The sequence below is a fragment of the Homo sapiens genome, chromosome 19 (genome assembly GCF_000001405.40).
Source record: "Homo sapiens chromosome 19, GRCh38.p14 Primary Assembly".
NCBI classification, from domain to species: Eukaryota; Metazoa; Chordata; class Mammalia; order Primates; family Hominidae; genus Homo; species Homo sapiens.
The window spans coordinates 45,149,599-45,162,909 of NC_000019.10; the positions used below are offsets into that span (position 1 = coordinate 45,149,599).

At 62.0% G+C, this 13,311-nt stretch overlaps 1 protein-coding gene and 1 long non-coding RNA gene across 5 annotated transcripts, besides 5 other annotated features; one reads left to right on the forward strand and one right to left on the reverse strand.

Annotated features, from left to right (window-relative positions):
* Positions 1 to 145: 145 nt before the first annotated feature.
* NKPD1 (NTPase KAP family P-loop domain containing 1) lies at positions 146 to 13,243 on the reverse strand. Of its 4 annotated transcripts, none has more exons than XM_011526799.3 (5): positions 11,066 to 13,243; positions 10,462 to 10,623; positions 9,065 to 9,502; positions 6,187 to 6,318; positions 146 to 4,177 (listed from the first exon to the last, which is right to left on the reverse strand). In XM_011526799.3, the coding sequence occupies exons 1-5, from the start codon at positions 11,073 to 11,075 to the stop codon at positions 2,340 to 2,342; spliced, it is 2,580 nt and encodes an 859-aa protein (XP_011525101.1). In that variant the 5' UTR covers positions 11,076 to 13,243; the 3' UTR covers positions 146 to 2,339. The 4 variants fall into 4 exon arrangements, with proteins under 4 accessions (XP_011525101.1, NP_940880.3, XP_011525106.1 ...); NM_198478.4 differs by having other exon boundaries at positions 11,327 to 11,384; XM_011526804.3 differs by lacking the exon at positions 9,065 to 9,502.
* Positions 3,207 to 3,832: an enhancer, noted in NCBI's record as "H3K27ac-H3K4me1 hESC enhancer chr19:45656063-45656688 (GRCh37/hg19 assembly coordinates)". NCBI's record gives its function as "activates a minimal SCP1, AML or CMV promoter by ChIP-STARR-seq in primed H9 embryonic stem cells {active_cell/tissue: H9 hESC(primed)}" and the evidence as "EXISTENCE:reporter gene assay evidence [ECO:0000049][PMID:30033119]".
* Positions 3,464 to 3,523: a silencer, noted in NCBI's record as "silent region_10755". NCBI's record gives its function as "represses an Ori minimal core promoter by ATAC-STARR-seq in GM12878 lymphoblastoid cells {active_cell/tissue: GM12878}" and the evidence as "EXISTENCE:reporter gene assay evidence [ECO:0000049][PMID:35858748]".
* Positions 3,981 to 7,766, forward strand: LOC105372420 (uncharacterized). Its single transcript, XR_935986.2, has 2 exons — positions 3,981 to 4,070; positions 7,466 to 7,766. It is a non-coding gene; the product is annotated as an uncharacterized LOC105372420 (long non-coding RNA).
* Positions 5,052 to 5,278: a silencer, noted in NCBI's record as "fragment chr19:45657908-45658134 (GRCh37/hg19 assembly coordinates)". NCBI's record gives its function as "represses an EF-1alpha promoter that drives an FKBP-Casp9 reporter gene in an ReSE screen in K562 erythroleukemia cells {active_cell/tissue: K562}" and the evidence as "EXISTENCE:reporter gene assay evidence [ECO:0000049][PMID:32094911]".
* Positions 6,015 to 6,732: an enhancer, noted in NCBI's record as "H3K4me1 hESC enhancer chr19:45658871-45659588 (GRCh37/hg19 assembly coordinates)". NCBI's record gives its function as "activates a minimal SCP1, AML or CMV promoter by ChIP-STARR-seq in naive H9 embryonic stem cells {active_cell/tissue: H9 hESC(naive)}" and the evidence as "EXISTENCE:reporter gene assay evidence [ECO:0000049][PMID:30033119]".
* Positions 11,034 to 11,666: an enhancer, noted in NCBI's record as "H3K4me1 hESC enhancer chr19:45663890-45664522 (GRCh37/hg19 assembly coordinates)". NCBI's record gives its function as "activates a minimal SCP1, AML or CMV promoter by ChIP-STARR-seq in naive H9 embryonic stem cells {active_cell/tissue: H9 hESC(naive)}" and the evidence as "EXISTENCE:reporter gene assay evidence [ECO:0000049][PMID:30033119]".

Here is a 13,311-nt window from a genome sequence, read left to right on the forward strand (position 1 = left end):
GGTCCCAGATCGAGGGCTGGAGGCTGAGAGGATCCCCCTTGCCATCTTGTCTTCCCCTTCCCTTCAGCCACCCAAGTGTCACCCGAGCTTGTCACGTTTTGGTAGCCTTTGCTGAAGACGTAGGGGGTCTGTTTCATGCAAGATCTCAATGTCCTAACACAGGAGATGTTTATTGTCACATGTGGATGTTCAGAGTGGCAGGCAGCTCTTCACCAAGTTATTCCTGGACCCAGGCCCCTTTGAAGCTCTTAGGGCTCTGTTGCTCCCCAGGGCCTCAAGGATCCCGGATCAAGTGGGCAGATGGGGGAAGGGAGTGGAGAAGGGAAACCTGCTCCCTGACTCATTGCTGGGAAAGGCGCACAGGTCAGCCGTGCTCCTTTTTTGTTCGTGACAACGGTCCCGTGGCTTTACACAGGTGCAAGTTCTCATAGCAGCTCCACGTGAAGATACAGTGACCAACAGTTTGGCCACAGCTTGTACCACGTAACAGAGGCTGCGGCTTTTTTTTTTAATCAGTCGGAGTCTTGCTCTGTCGCCCAGGCTGGAGTGCAGTGGCACCATCTTGGCTCCAGCCACCACCTCCCGGGTTCAAGTGATCCTCCCACCTCAGCCTCCTGAGTAGCTGGGATTACAGGCATGCACCACCATGCCCAGCTAATCTTTTTGTATTTTTATTAGAGACAGGGCTTCACCATGTTGGCCAGGCTGATGCAGCTTCTTACTGAGGCATGGGGGGCTTCAGTCCTGCCCTCACCTCCAGCCAAGTCTACACGTTAGCATCTCTCACAGCACCCCACTCCTGGTAACAGGAGTGAAAATTTATTTTCAGCTTGGATTCCAGGTGGTAAGAAACAAACCCAACTGAAACTGGCTTAAGGGAGGCTACAGGGATATATTGACCCCAACCACACATCTACAGAAACAGACTTAACGGTGTCACGAGGCCCCATCCTTCTCCCTCTGAGGCCAGCTCTCCCTGACTGCTGGGAAACAGCTCCCAGGAGGTCCAGGCGTATCCTACCAGCTTAGTCAGTCCAGGAATGGGAAACAGCACCTCTGCTTGCCCAGCCCCAGGGAAGATCATAGAGGGCTCCCACTGACCTGCATGCACCTGTGACAATTGCTGTGGCCAGAGAACTCCGGTGCTGCAGCCAGACCTGGATGCTATGCCCAGCCTTGGAACTAAAGAACTGTGAGGTCAGTGACCCAGTCCCATGGCCTGAGGGTGTGTGCCTTTGCAGAGCTCTCAGGTTCCTCGGGGGCTGTCCCCTCCACCAGCCTCAGGGCCCTGGCTCAGAAGCCACACCCTCAGCCTCATCCCAGGGTATGTTCAGTGTTGGCCCTTGTGGCCCCTGCCGGCACACACTTGGAACTGGGCCAGGCACCCCAGGGCCTGAGCGTGTGGCTGAACATTTGACCAGTGAGGAATCAGGAACTGCCCAGAGGAGTGACACCCACCCCCAGCCCAGGGCTCTGCCCAGAGGGAAAGTGGGGGAGCCCTAGTGTAACCCCTCCTGGCTGGCTGTGGCTTGGGCCCTGTATGTCCCCATCTCTGCCCAACTTCCCTGTCCTCATCAGGGGGCTGATGCAGTGGCTTCAGTGTCAGTGACTAACCAGTGGCCCTGGAGTGACTCGTAAGGCAGGTACCCTGTGGACAGTTATTTGTCTGGGGGAGGTTAGTGCCACCCACTCCAGCTGGCTGAGGTGCCAGCGAGGTCTAACCCATTACGTTGAGAATGGAGCCACCCTAGGGGTGGAGCAGCTTGCTGAGGTCACCGAGGTCATCCTCAGAAATGCCAGCCCCTGCCCTACTCACAGAGGGGCAAGCTAGGGCATGGGGACAAGGACTGGGATTCCCTGAGGCCTGGGCGCTCCATGTTGCCTGAGTCAACCTGGCCCATCCACCTGTCATCTCTGCAGCCTCACCCACCACCCCCGCAGCCTCTCCTGCCACAGAGATGCCAGATGAGGAGGCCAGCATGGTGCAGAGGAGTAAGTGGGCTTAGCAGGATGGGGCAGGCCCTGTGGCAGGACGGGGCAGGCCTGGTCCCTGGTCAGATCAGGATGCGGAGAGCAACTCCGGGCTCTCAACACCTCCATTTATTGCATGTATACCCTGACTTCCTCACTGGTCCTTCTGTGCCTGCTCTCATGCTGGCACCGGCTTGTGGCCGCACTCCTTGGAAGCTATGTCCACGGCTCTGGCTCAGGTTCACCTGGGGGTGTGGGCCTCACAGGGCTCATTCGGACCCTGGGTTGCGGCCCCAGTCCAGCCCCCTATTCTCCCATCTGGGCAGATGGAGGAACCCTTGCCTCCTGCTGCCCGCCAAGTCCTCCATTTAAGGCCCACCTGGGCTGGATTGCCCTGGACGGAAGAGCGCACAGGCCACCGGCCATAGCTTGCCCCTGTGGGCCAAGTCCCCAGTGTGGTGGCCTTCGCCGGCTTGCCCTGAGGCACGGCCCGACGGGGGCGCCCTGGAGGCGCTGTTGGCCCGGTGGGCAGCGTGGGGGGTATCGCGGGTAGGGGACTTGGGCGGGCTGGGCGGCTTGAGCGCGCTGACGGCTCGGATGAGACCCATGCGCCGGCGGATGGAGTGGTCCAGGTTGACCGTGCAGCGCAGCAGGCTCTGCGCCTCGGCCACGGTGAAGGGGAAGTCGGCGCCCAGGAAGCGCTCGAAGAGCTCGGGGTCGCCGTCCAGGTCGAGCACGTTCTGCAACGCCTTGGTCATGGTGTGCAGCTCGCGGCTGTTGTCGCGGAAAACGTCCCAGAGGCGCGCGCGGCCCTCGGGCGCGCCCCCGGTCTGCTGCCGGTCCTCCAGGCACTGCAGCGCCCAGCTCAGGCGGCACGGCCACTGGTTGGCGAGCACCACCCACGCCACCGCCTGGCGCGGCGTGGGGCCCCCAAAGTCCCCCTGCTGCTGCTGCTGCTGCAGCAGGCGCACGGTGATGGGCACGGTGTTGACGATGCGCCGCATGGACACCACGTTGTCGGGCACGTACTCGTAGAGGCAGTCGCGCTCGTCGTGAAGGCAGAAGAGCGCCTCCTGGATTCGCCGCGCCGCCTCGTCGTCGATGCGGCCCTGCCCGCGCTCCGTCCCCGCCTGCGCCTGCACCGCCAGCAGCTGCGCGCTCTCGCCCCCGGCGTCCCCCGGCAGCCACGGCTTGCGCGTCATCTCGCGGTACAACAGGTCGTCGCGGCTCTGCACCGCATCGTGCAGGAACTGCAGCTTGGTGCGGCGGCCCATAATGGGCACAGAGAAGGGCAGCGTGACAGTGCGGTTGAGGAAGAGGTAGCCGTTATCGGCCGTGCCCTTCATGTTGCCCGCGCTCTCTAGGCACGCGGCCAGGATGCTGGGGTCCACGACCAGGATGAAGATGAAGGGCGCGTGGCTGTCGGACAGCAGCGTGTTGATGGCGTTGAGCACGCCCACCACGCGCTCCGGGTAGCACGTGTCCAGCCCGGTGACCTCCAGCACCACGCGCAGCCTGCGCCGCTGGTAGATCTCCAGGAAGCACAGGAAGTCGGTGAGCAGCTCCACCTCCTTCTTCACCTCGCACATGAAACCCAGCTGGCTGCCGAACTTTTCACGCGACACCAGCCGCTCGATCTTCTTGCGCTGGCTTACGAACAGGTGCTTGCCCACCGAGTACACGGCCATGAGCAGCCCCGAGCCCGACAGTGTGGTGGCCGCGCCGCCAAACACCTTGAGCAGGCTGCCGCTCGGGCTGCCGTGGCCCAGCGCGTGGCCGCCCAGTGACAAGTAGAGCAGCCCCACACCCAGGCCCAGCGCCGCCAGCAGCGCCAGCAGCCCCAGGCACACGCGGCGCCGACAATGCCACTCGCTCTGGCAGCAGTCCTGCCTGGTGGCCGGCTTGTTGCCCAGCACCGAGTACACGCTGAAGGGCAGTGCGCCATAGTGGCGGCGGATGCCCTCGCACAACGTGGTCACCAGGCCGGCCCACAGCTTGTCGGTGCCCGCGTACTGCCAGGCGCTAAAGCGGATGAAAAGGAACTGCACGTTCCTGCGCCGCAGGTGCACCTCGGTGATGATGGGCTGCAGGAACACCAGGTACCACAGTAGCTGCGGGACGCCCCAGCCGCTCACGGCACGCGGCCGCCACTGCACGTGCTGCAGCTCCTCGCTCTCGCGCTGCGCGGCCTCCTGCTGCATCAGCGCTGCGGGAAGGGAGCCCGGGAGCCGCGTGAGCCGCAGACCCGCCGGGGTGGGCGGGGCCTAGTACGGGCAGGGCGGAGCGCTCCTGGAGAGGCGAGGGGCGCCCAGCAGAGGCGAGGGGCTGGAAGCGAGCCGCGGCCGCTCCTTAAAGAGCTGGAAGCCGGTGCAGAAGCGGGGGCGTGGAGAGGCCTGGAGCCGGGCTTGGACCGGAAGCGGTCTGAAGGCCAGGCTGTGGGGTCGGGATGGGCAGAGGTAGAGCCGGCAGAGGAGAGATGGGAGGAGGCAAAAAGAGATACGAGGAAGAGCCAGGGATGGGCAAGAGGCTGGAGGCGGAGCGAGGGTGTGGAGGGCACCGGGAAGGTTCTGAGAGTGGGGCAGGGGACAAGTGGTCGGTGTAAGGGATGAATGAATGAGATGCTGAGGAGGAGCTATGCTAGGCAGCAGGATACACCCTCGGTCTTATCTTGTTGACTTAACTGCTCCTCCTGCAGGAAGCCCTCCCTGATCCCCAGGCTGGGTCGGGGGCCCTCAGCCATTCCTACTCTGGGTCATCACTGTCTGAGGACAAGTCTCTCTCCCCTGCTGGACTGTGAGCCGGAAGGGCAGGGTCCTGCTTGTCTTGGTCACCGTGTCCCCTGGGCACCAGAAGGTGCTTAGGGAATGCCTGAACAATAGATCATGAGAAATCTGAGGTCACAGAGTGAATGAGCGGGAGTGTCTACAGCACCCAGCAGGAGGAGTAGGGACTCTCTGTTCTTTATATCCTCTTCTCCTCCCGGGACCCTGTGACAACACAGGACAGGACAGTGAGTGCTCAATGGACAGTCAGTACAGGAAGGAAAGGCTATTGGGCCTGCACCAGGGCTGGGCACACGTAGGAGGAACGTCAGTCCCAGCCCCTCTGGCCCCACGTGGGGCTGAGGTCTGAGCTCCAGCAGGGCTTGATCCAGATCAAAGCTGCTGGGGAGGCCAGTCGCGGTGAGTCACGCCTGTAATCTCAGCACTTTTTGGGAGGCCGAGGTGGGCGGATCACATGAGGTCAGGAGTTCAAGACCAGCCTGGCCAACACGGTGAAACCCCATCGCTACTAAAAATACAAAAATTAGCCGGGCTTGGTGGTGGGCACCTGTAGTCCCAGCTACTTGGGAGGCTGAGGCAGGAGAATCGCTTGAACCTGGGAGGTGGAGGCTGCACTGAGTTGAGACTGCGCCACTGCAGTACAGCCTGGGCGACAGAGTGAGACTCCATTTAAAAAAAAAAAAAAAAAAAAGGCCAGGTGCAGTGGCTCATGTGTAATCCCAGCACTTTGGGAGGCTGAGGCGGATCACATGAGGTCAAGAGATCGAGACCATCTGGCCAACATGGTAAAACCCCGTCTACTAAAAATACAAAAAATTAGCTGGGCGTGGTGGTGAGCGCCTGTAATCCCAGCTACTTGGGAGGCTGAGGCAGGAGAGTCACTTGAACCCGGGAGGCGGAGGTTGCAGTGAGCCAAGATCGCACCATTGCACTCCAGCCTGGAGACAGAGCAAGATTCCGTCTCAAAAAAAAAAAGCTGCTGGGGAACCTGGCGGGTTGCAGTTCATGTCTTCAGTTGGCATCTATGTATCAGGTACTTTGTGACCACCAAGCCTTAAGAGGTGGGTCTGGGTGGCACAGAGGCCAGTAGGGGCTTGGCAGGAGCCTGCAGCCTCAATAAAGAGCCTGGGCTTTCTGCCTCAGGTGCTGGGGAGCATGGAAGGCACCAAGCACAGGAGGGACAGGGTCAGATCTGTCCTTCAGAAAGAGTCCTTGGAGTGGATTTGGTGGCAGAAGCAGGGAAGGGTAAAACTTGGGGGCAGCCAGGAGGCCAGAGAAGCAGAGCCCGGGGTAGAGGCATGGGCTTGGGGAGGGCCTGGGCTGGGGCAGGCTGGCCACAGGGGTGGGGGGATCTGGGGGAAGCCTGGAGCTGGGCGGGGACCAGAGGCCCTGTTTCTCATCCTCCCCCCAACAAACACACACAGCTCCTCACCCGTGATCTTGTCCAGCATCATGTGCAGGCGGCAGCCGAAAGGGGCATAGAAACCCACGGTCACAGGGACCGGCACGTGGCAGAGTGTCTTGGCCAGGCAGCTGCAGTAGACGTCATCCTCTGTCAGGATGTCTGGTGGTTGGGAGTGGGGACACTGAGTCAGGACCACTGGCCAGGCACCACCCTCCTCCCATCTGCCCTCCATGGCCCCCACTATCAGCCCCTTCCTGGCACCCTGTGCAAAGGGGACTCAGGTCAAACCCTGCAGTGGAGGTTTCTGTGGCCATCAGTGGCCCTCACCTCCAGGGCGAGCTGTGCCCCTTTGGGTCCCACCAGGCTGAGGCTGGGAGGCTGGAATCCCCCCAGCCACACACCAGAGGCTGAGGCTGCGGGAAGTCAGCTTTCCTGGCCCTAGGTCACCAGGCTTGCTTGGTCACTAGCCCGTGATTCCCCCGGGGAAAATCCCAAAGGCCTTTATTTGGGATACGAGGCCCTCAGATGCCAAGACACCACTTTCCACCATCAGCAGGACTCCAGGCCACTCCTGCCTGCTCTGCTGGCCCGGCCAGAGCATGGAGAGGCCCTGGGCCGCAGGCTCCTCCCACCGTCCTGTCCATCATGCTGGCAAGTCACTAATCCCACCTGAGCCCAGGGTTGGGAGAGAGATGACCAGACTGGAGCTCCAGTCCCAGCCCCACCGCCTTTGTCTGCAGACCCCAGGGAGAGCCACCTCTGAGAGGCTCATTTCCCTCTGAAGAGTGGGGCAGCAGAGACACCAGGGAGCAGGAATGCCAAAGGGTCTGGCCAGCGCCGGGCCCTTGGTCAATGTCATGGTCTCCAGTGGCCATTTAGGGCCCTGGGGACCAGGCACTGGCACTACGGCATCCACTCTGCAGAGGGCACCCTGTCCCCCAGTGAGGGTTGCTTCTTGGACCTGGAAATGGGGTATCAAAAAGGTAGGGTTCAGTCTTGGGGGGACACATGGGGCCAGCTTTGTGGTGCACAGTGGGGGTAACACAGCCACTTTCAGAGAGGCCTGGTGGGCTGTAGGAAACGGGCCACACCTGGCGGCAGAGCCAGGAGGCCAGGAAGCAGACTCAGGAGTAGTTCTACTGAGGTGTGGGTAGGCGGGTCTAATTCCAGCTCTGCCAGATCACTGGGTGGCCCCACCTCATCCACCCTCTACTTCCCTGTGTGTGAAATAGACATCGTAGCCCTGAGGCTCCGGTGACAGGGCTGTGCCCGACCTAAAGTCCCTGTTGCTCTACTTTCAATCCAGACCTGGAAACCCAGCCGTCTCCACCTCTGCTGCCGCCACCCCGGCAAGGCTGCCGCACCTCTCGCCTGGATTTTTGCAATCTCCTGCTCCCTCGGCCACCTGCTTCCGTCCTCCTCCCATAGCCCATTCTCCTGGAGATCCTGTCAGCTCACATCCATCCTCGGCTCCTGCCTCCTTTGGGCAAAAGCCGAAGTACTGGCTCCTTGCTGGCCCGGGAACATGCCTCCTCAGGGTCTCTGCTCAAACGCTGCCTTAATGAGGCCCAGCCTGACAACCCGATTTAAATCTGCAAACCCTGACATCCCCCATCTCCTGTCCCTGCTTTATTTTTACCTAGTGTGGTTGTTACCGAGTGGCATACTTTTCGAGGCAAGGTCTTGCTCTGTCACCCAGGCTGGAGTGCAGCGGCACAATTATAAGTCACTGCAGCCTCGAACTCTGGGGCTCAAGGGATCCTCCTTCTTCAGCCTCCCATGTGGCTGGGACCACAGGCGTGCATCACTATGCTGGGCTAATTTTTTATTTTATCTTTTGTAGATACAGGGCATAACTATGCTGCCCAGGCTGGTCTGGAACTCCTGGCCTCAAGCGATCCTCCTGCCTCAGCCTTCCAAACTACTGGGATTACAGGCATGAGCCAGTGCGCCCAGACATACTTTTTTTTTTTTTTTTTTTTTTTGAGACAGAGTCTTGCTCTGTCACCCAGGCTGGAGTGCAGTGGTGTCATCTCGGCTCATTGCAACCTCTACCTCCCGGTTTCAAGTGATTCTCGTGCCTCAGCCTCCTGAGTAACTGGGATTACACGCGCCAGCCACCACACCTGGCTAATGTTTGTACTTTTAGTAGAGATAGGGTTGTACCATGTTGGCCAGGCTGGTCTCAAACCCCTGACCTCAGGTGATCCACCAGCTTCAGCCTCCCAAAGTGCTGGGATTACAGGCATGAGCCACTGCACCTGGCCTCCCAGCCACTTTTAAATTTCCATGTTTCCTGTACCTGCCCCCGGCTGCAATGCAATGTGAGCCCCATGAAGACAAGAGATGTCTGTTGATCCCACTCCCCACTGTGCCCCTAGAACAGGGTCTGGCACGCTCAGGGTGCTGGATACCTAGTCATGGAGTGAATGAGGGAGGGAGAGAGCAAGCAAGTGGGTCTTCCCATTGCTGACCTTTGCTCTCCGTTCCCCAGGCTACTCCCTAGCTCTGTCTTCCCCAACGCCAGAGCCAGCCAACAACCCAGGGCTCACCATCCCTGCCCCATGTACCCTGTACCCTGCTGAGCCAGAGGAGGGAGCTGAGAAGAGACCAGAGCAGAGCCAGGGTGTCGGCAGAGGGAAAGGGGGAAGGAGAGGGAGGCCTTCACTGCCTGGCGCAGGATGGAGGCACGGGGCAGGCCTGGCCTGGAAGCCTTGGACCCCAACAGGCAAAGCTGAGGCAGCCAGCCTGAGCCCCATGGCCAGGGACGCACCCCTCCTAGATAGGGAACAGGGTGTGGATGAAGAGGGCAGGTGCAAGATGCTAGGCAGGGAGCAAGGAGAGCAGGTGGGAAGTGAGGCGGCAGGAGTGGGGACAGGGCCCCCAAGAAGGCCAGGGTGAGCACCGGAGCTGTAGGCAGTGAAGGAGCCACAGGCCGCTGGGGCGGGCAGGGGCCGGGCATCAGTGGGCTCGCTGGGCTTCAGGAGGACGCCAGCCGCGGAGGGTAGAGCTGGGCCACTCCTGGCCATGGCTGGTGCCGTGGTGGGTAAGGTGGGCGCCTGAGGGGCGCTGGCAGGTTCCTTGGGGACAGTGGAGGTTGCAGGCAGCCCCTTCTGGGCTTCGTGAATGGGGCAGAGCCGCTGCCGCAGGGGGCTGGGAGGTGAGGGCTGGGACTGGGGCTGCCGCTGCTGCTGCAGGACGGAGGGCAGGAGGCCCCGGCGCCAGCCACTGCCACCCACTTGGTGGCTGTGGTAGGCCAGCTGCCAGTGTGATTGGGGGGAAGGCCGACAGGGCCCATGGGCTCGGAGGGCCGCTGAGTCCTGGCGCCACTGATGACAGCATCCTGGAAGGAAGGAAGTGGGGGTGACTGGGCCTGTGTCCCCGACCCCCGGGGGCACCGGCACAAGCCAGACCAAGTCTTCAGGTAGAACCTGGGGGCCAGAGTATTCTTGGGAGCCCCAGAAACCCCTCAAAAAGTAAGATTATGTGCGGGGGAGGTATGGGCAGGGGAGGGACCCAGGGTCTGTGCTGTCCCATGGCGGGGGAGCAGGGAAGGTGCAGGCTTGGACTTCAGCTGGGGGCAGAGAGAGGACGCCTGAGGTTGGGGCTTCAATGGAGGCTGGTGCCTGCCACAGCAGATTCCTGGATCCCTGGGGGGTGCCGCCAGTGCAGGGGTCAGGGAAACTGAGAAGATCCATTGGGAGCTGGCCCTGGCTGGCCCAGGGAGGCCGGAGTGATGGGTGGTGGCGTGGAGAGGGGTAGGCCAGGGATTTGGGTGGGGGGTGGACCTTGTCCCCAGCTCGGGCCAGGGTGGCAGGAAGGGTGGTGACCTGGGAAGCTCCAGCCCTCGCCCTAGCCCTGAGGAGGCTGAATCAGCCCCAGTGGGAGGGCACTGCCCCCTCCCCACCCTGAACAAGATCACCTGTGGTCACCACCAGAAACTGGGCCCAGCCTCATCCAGACATGTTCAGTGGGGGGGCTCCCTCTCCTACCCCTCACTCCCAGCACACTGCTCCCCTCCAGGCTGGAGGCCATCCACACAGGCCTCAGGGTTTGGAAACGGGGCAGGGCAGGCCAGGCGGCCCCTGCTTCCAACTCCAGCCCAGGCTCCTATCTTTGGGCCCGCAGGCCCTGTGGTCCGGGTCCTGGGTCCCAGGCCCTGCTGCTACACAGATGCCTCTGGGTGGAGTGCAAGTGGCTTTTCTCTCCTGGGGATGACAGCTCCCCTTCTGTTCCTCCATTCACTCTGGCTTCCTCACAGGCCTCTGTCGGCCATCACCCGCCCCCAAACTGAACCCGTACCTTTTCGGTGCCCCAACTCTGGGTCCCAGAAGTAGTGCCCGTTGGGGCTCTGGGCATCCTTGGCGAAGTGGACTTTGTAATGTTTGTGCATGGCAGCCGGGCAGCTGGGTGCTGGGGGCCTGCTCCTGAGGCAGGAGGGAGCACACAGGCTTGGCGTAGCCTCTGGGGCACGAACAGCAGAGAGCTGAGGTCAGGGTCCCTGCCCTGCCCGACAGCTTGGACAGGGGAAAGGCCAAGTCCCAGATGCTGGGTTCCTAGGTCACTTGGGAGAAGGGGGTAGAGGTGGCCTTCAGGGTACAGTGAGGGGCAGGATAAGGAGGGATGGCCAGAGGAGGGAACGGAGAACCGCTGGGGTTGGCTAGGGGTTAATTTGAGGCTGGGTGTTGGGAAGCTCCTGGGAGTTTCCAAGAGGCTAGGACACTGGGGAGTGCTGAGCAGACATGGGCTGGGGAAATAGGGGGTCCGGTGTGGTGGCTGAGTGACCAAGGGGTCATTAAGGTGTGGGCGCTGTGGGAGGCTGGCACGCTTTGGAAGGACATGGAGCTAGTGAGGTGAGCTGGAGAGCAGATGAGAAGCAGGGTGAGTGAAAATCAGAGCTGGGTACCTGTGGGCATTGAATGATACGGTGGAGGGGGAATTGTGAGGGAGCAATGAAATCGCGGTGGTCCAATTTGGGGAGAGGCTCAGCAAACTCGGGCAAGATGGGTGTACCGCGTTTCCAATGTGAAGAGCCGAAAGCAGGACAGGGAAGGATGCTGTGTGGGGGACAGGGATAGGGAAAGGCTGAGGGGCAGAGGAAACTGGGGTGCTGAGAGTTGGTAGCCTGCCCACCACTCCCCACCCCCAGTCCCAGTCCCACTCGTACCTGACGGTGGCCTCACGGCCCCAGCTGCCTGCCCCACGAGCAGCTGCCACACCAGCCCGGACTGTCAGCGCAGGCCCATCCAGATGGAGGCCTCAGCCCAGTGCCCGCCTGACCGGTTTGCCTGCCTGTCCCCGCCCCTTCCCCAGCGCCTGCCTGTCCCAGTGCTCTCTGCTCTCGAGGACTGGGACTCCGACTGGACTCAGTCTTGTGTCCCCATCCCTGGTAAGGAACGGAGATGCATCCCGCAGCACTGCCTCAATCTCCTTAAGGCAGCCACAGGCCCAGGCACTTCTGCTGGTGTGGGGGGGACAGGGAGCTGGGATGCCAGCTCCTCCGTGGCCCAGGTATGTGACCTTGGGCAGGTGACTTCACTCTCCGAGCCATGGCTTCCTCATTGCTGAGTGGGCACCTGCCTCTCGTGGCTGTCGCGAGGGAGGCACTGGGTGGGAGTCCCCTCAGCTCAGGGCCTGGCGCACCTGACCCGGGGCTGTGCTGACCCATTTACCTGGCGCTGTTCTAAATGGATGTCCATAGGACAAGGGCAACAGCACACACATCAAGGCTTGCTACACCATAGCCCCGTCTTCCTCTCCACCACCCAGGGGGCCAGGTGTGATGCCCGCTTCACAGATGAGGACACTGAGGCCCAGAGAAGTGAAGTCCTCGGCCCCAGGGCACACAGAGGCAGGGCGGGGATTTGGAAGCAGTCAGTGGTTGCTACTCCCAGGCTCGCCAAGGCTCTGTCTCCTGCCCTCGGGGCCAGCACTCAGTGACTGCCTCCCCACAGATGCCCTCTGAGGGGTGAGGGCCGGGGTAAGGCTGGGCAGGAGATGCCCTGAAGGCCCCTCGGCTCTCTGGGGCCCCGGCTCCCTGTGGCTGCTGGCGTAACGGGGTCAACAGTTGCTTCCCTGACAGACGGGGTGCTCCGATGGGGATGGGGGAGGCAGCCCCAGAACAGTGCCCAGGACAAGATAAAGGGAACCCACCCAGCCCTGAGTTCTGCCCAGGTGACCAAACACTGCTCCCTACGGCCAGAGCCAGGGCCCTTCCTGCGACCTGGGACCCCGTCTCCTCCCCCACCCTTCAAGCCGGTTGCTCTGGGAAGGTTCCTCCCTGGCCCACCAGGGAGGCGGGGCTGGCATCTGAGCGTGGGCATCTGCAGTGGGCCTCCGTGCCAACCCCCCACACCCCCGGCCCGATCATGAAGCGTGGCCCAATGTAAATGAGCCGTCTCCGCAGGACGAGATTGCCCCGGGCTGGGAGCACAGTGGCCAGGAGGCTGCTGGACACTAGGGGGAGCAGGCGTTTGGGGAGTGGGCCAGGCGGGCAGCACTGCAGAGGCAGACACAGGACACAGCTACACTCAGCCAGGTGGAATAGGAAGGGGTGACCCAGGCAGGGCCTGACGGGGTGACTGGACCCCACTCTACAGGGGAGGTTCTTTAGCAAGGGGCCCCTTTCTCATCCCATTTGGGGTTCACCCCCAGCCTTGGTGGGCAGCTCTGAGCCTGGGGCACTTACCCATGTCAGGCAGCGGGCGGCGAAGCCCAGGAGTCCCCAGATGCTACAGATGCGAGCGGGGTGGGAGGGGGCAGCATAAGGGCCACTCTGCCCAGGGACGGGCAGCAGGAGTGCGTAGGGGCCGCGTGTGTCCATGGGGGTGTCTGGCCTCCCCCTACCCCATGCATCCCCAGCCCTGGCAGCCCCAGCCCGACCTGGCCTACACTCCGGGCACTCCCAGCCCTGCTCCCCAGGAAGACGCTCCGTTCTGTGCACATCGCCGGGCAGAGGGCAGCCCCAGACTTGTTGACTTGGCAGAGGTGCCAGTAAGGCCGCCCATGCCGGAGGCCAGCATCCCTCTGCCAGGAGCACGGGGAGGGAGGGAGTGGAGGGGGACGTGGCAGGGGAGGGAAGGTCTGAGGGGCATGGGAGCCAGAGAGGGTACCCACTCCCCTGCAGGACCTGTGACAGTCGGTCCACAGATC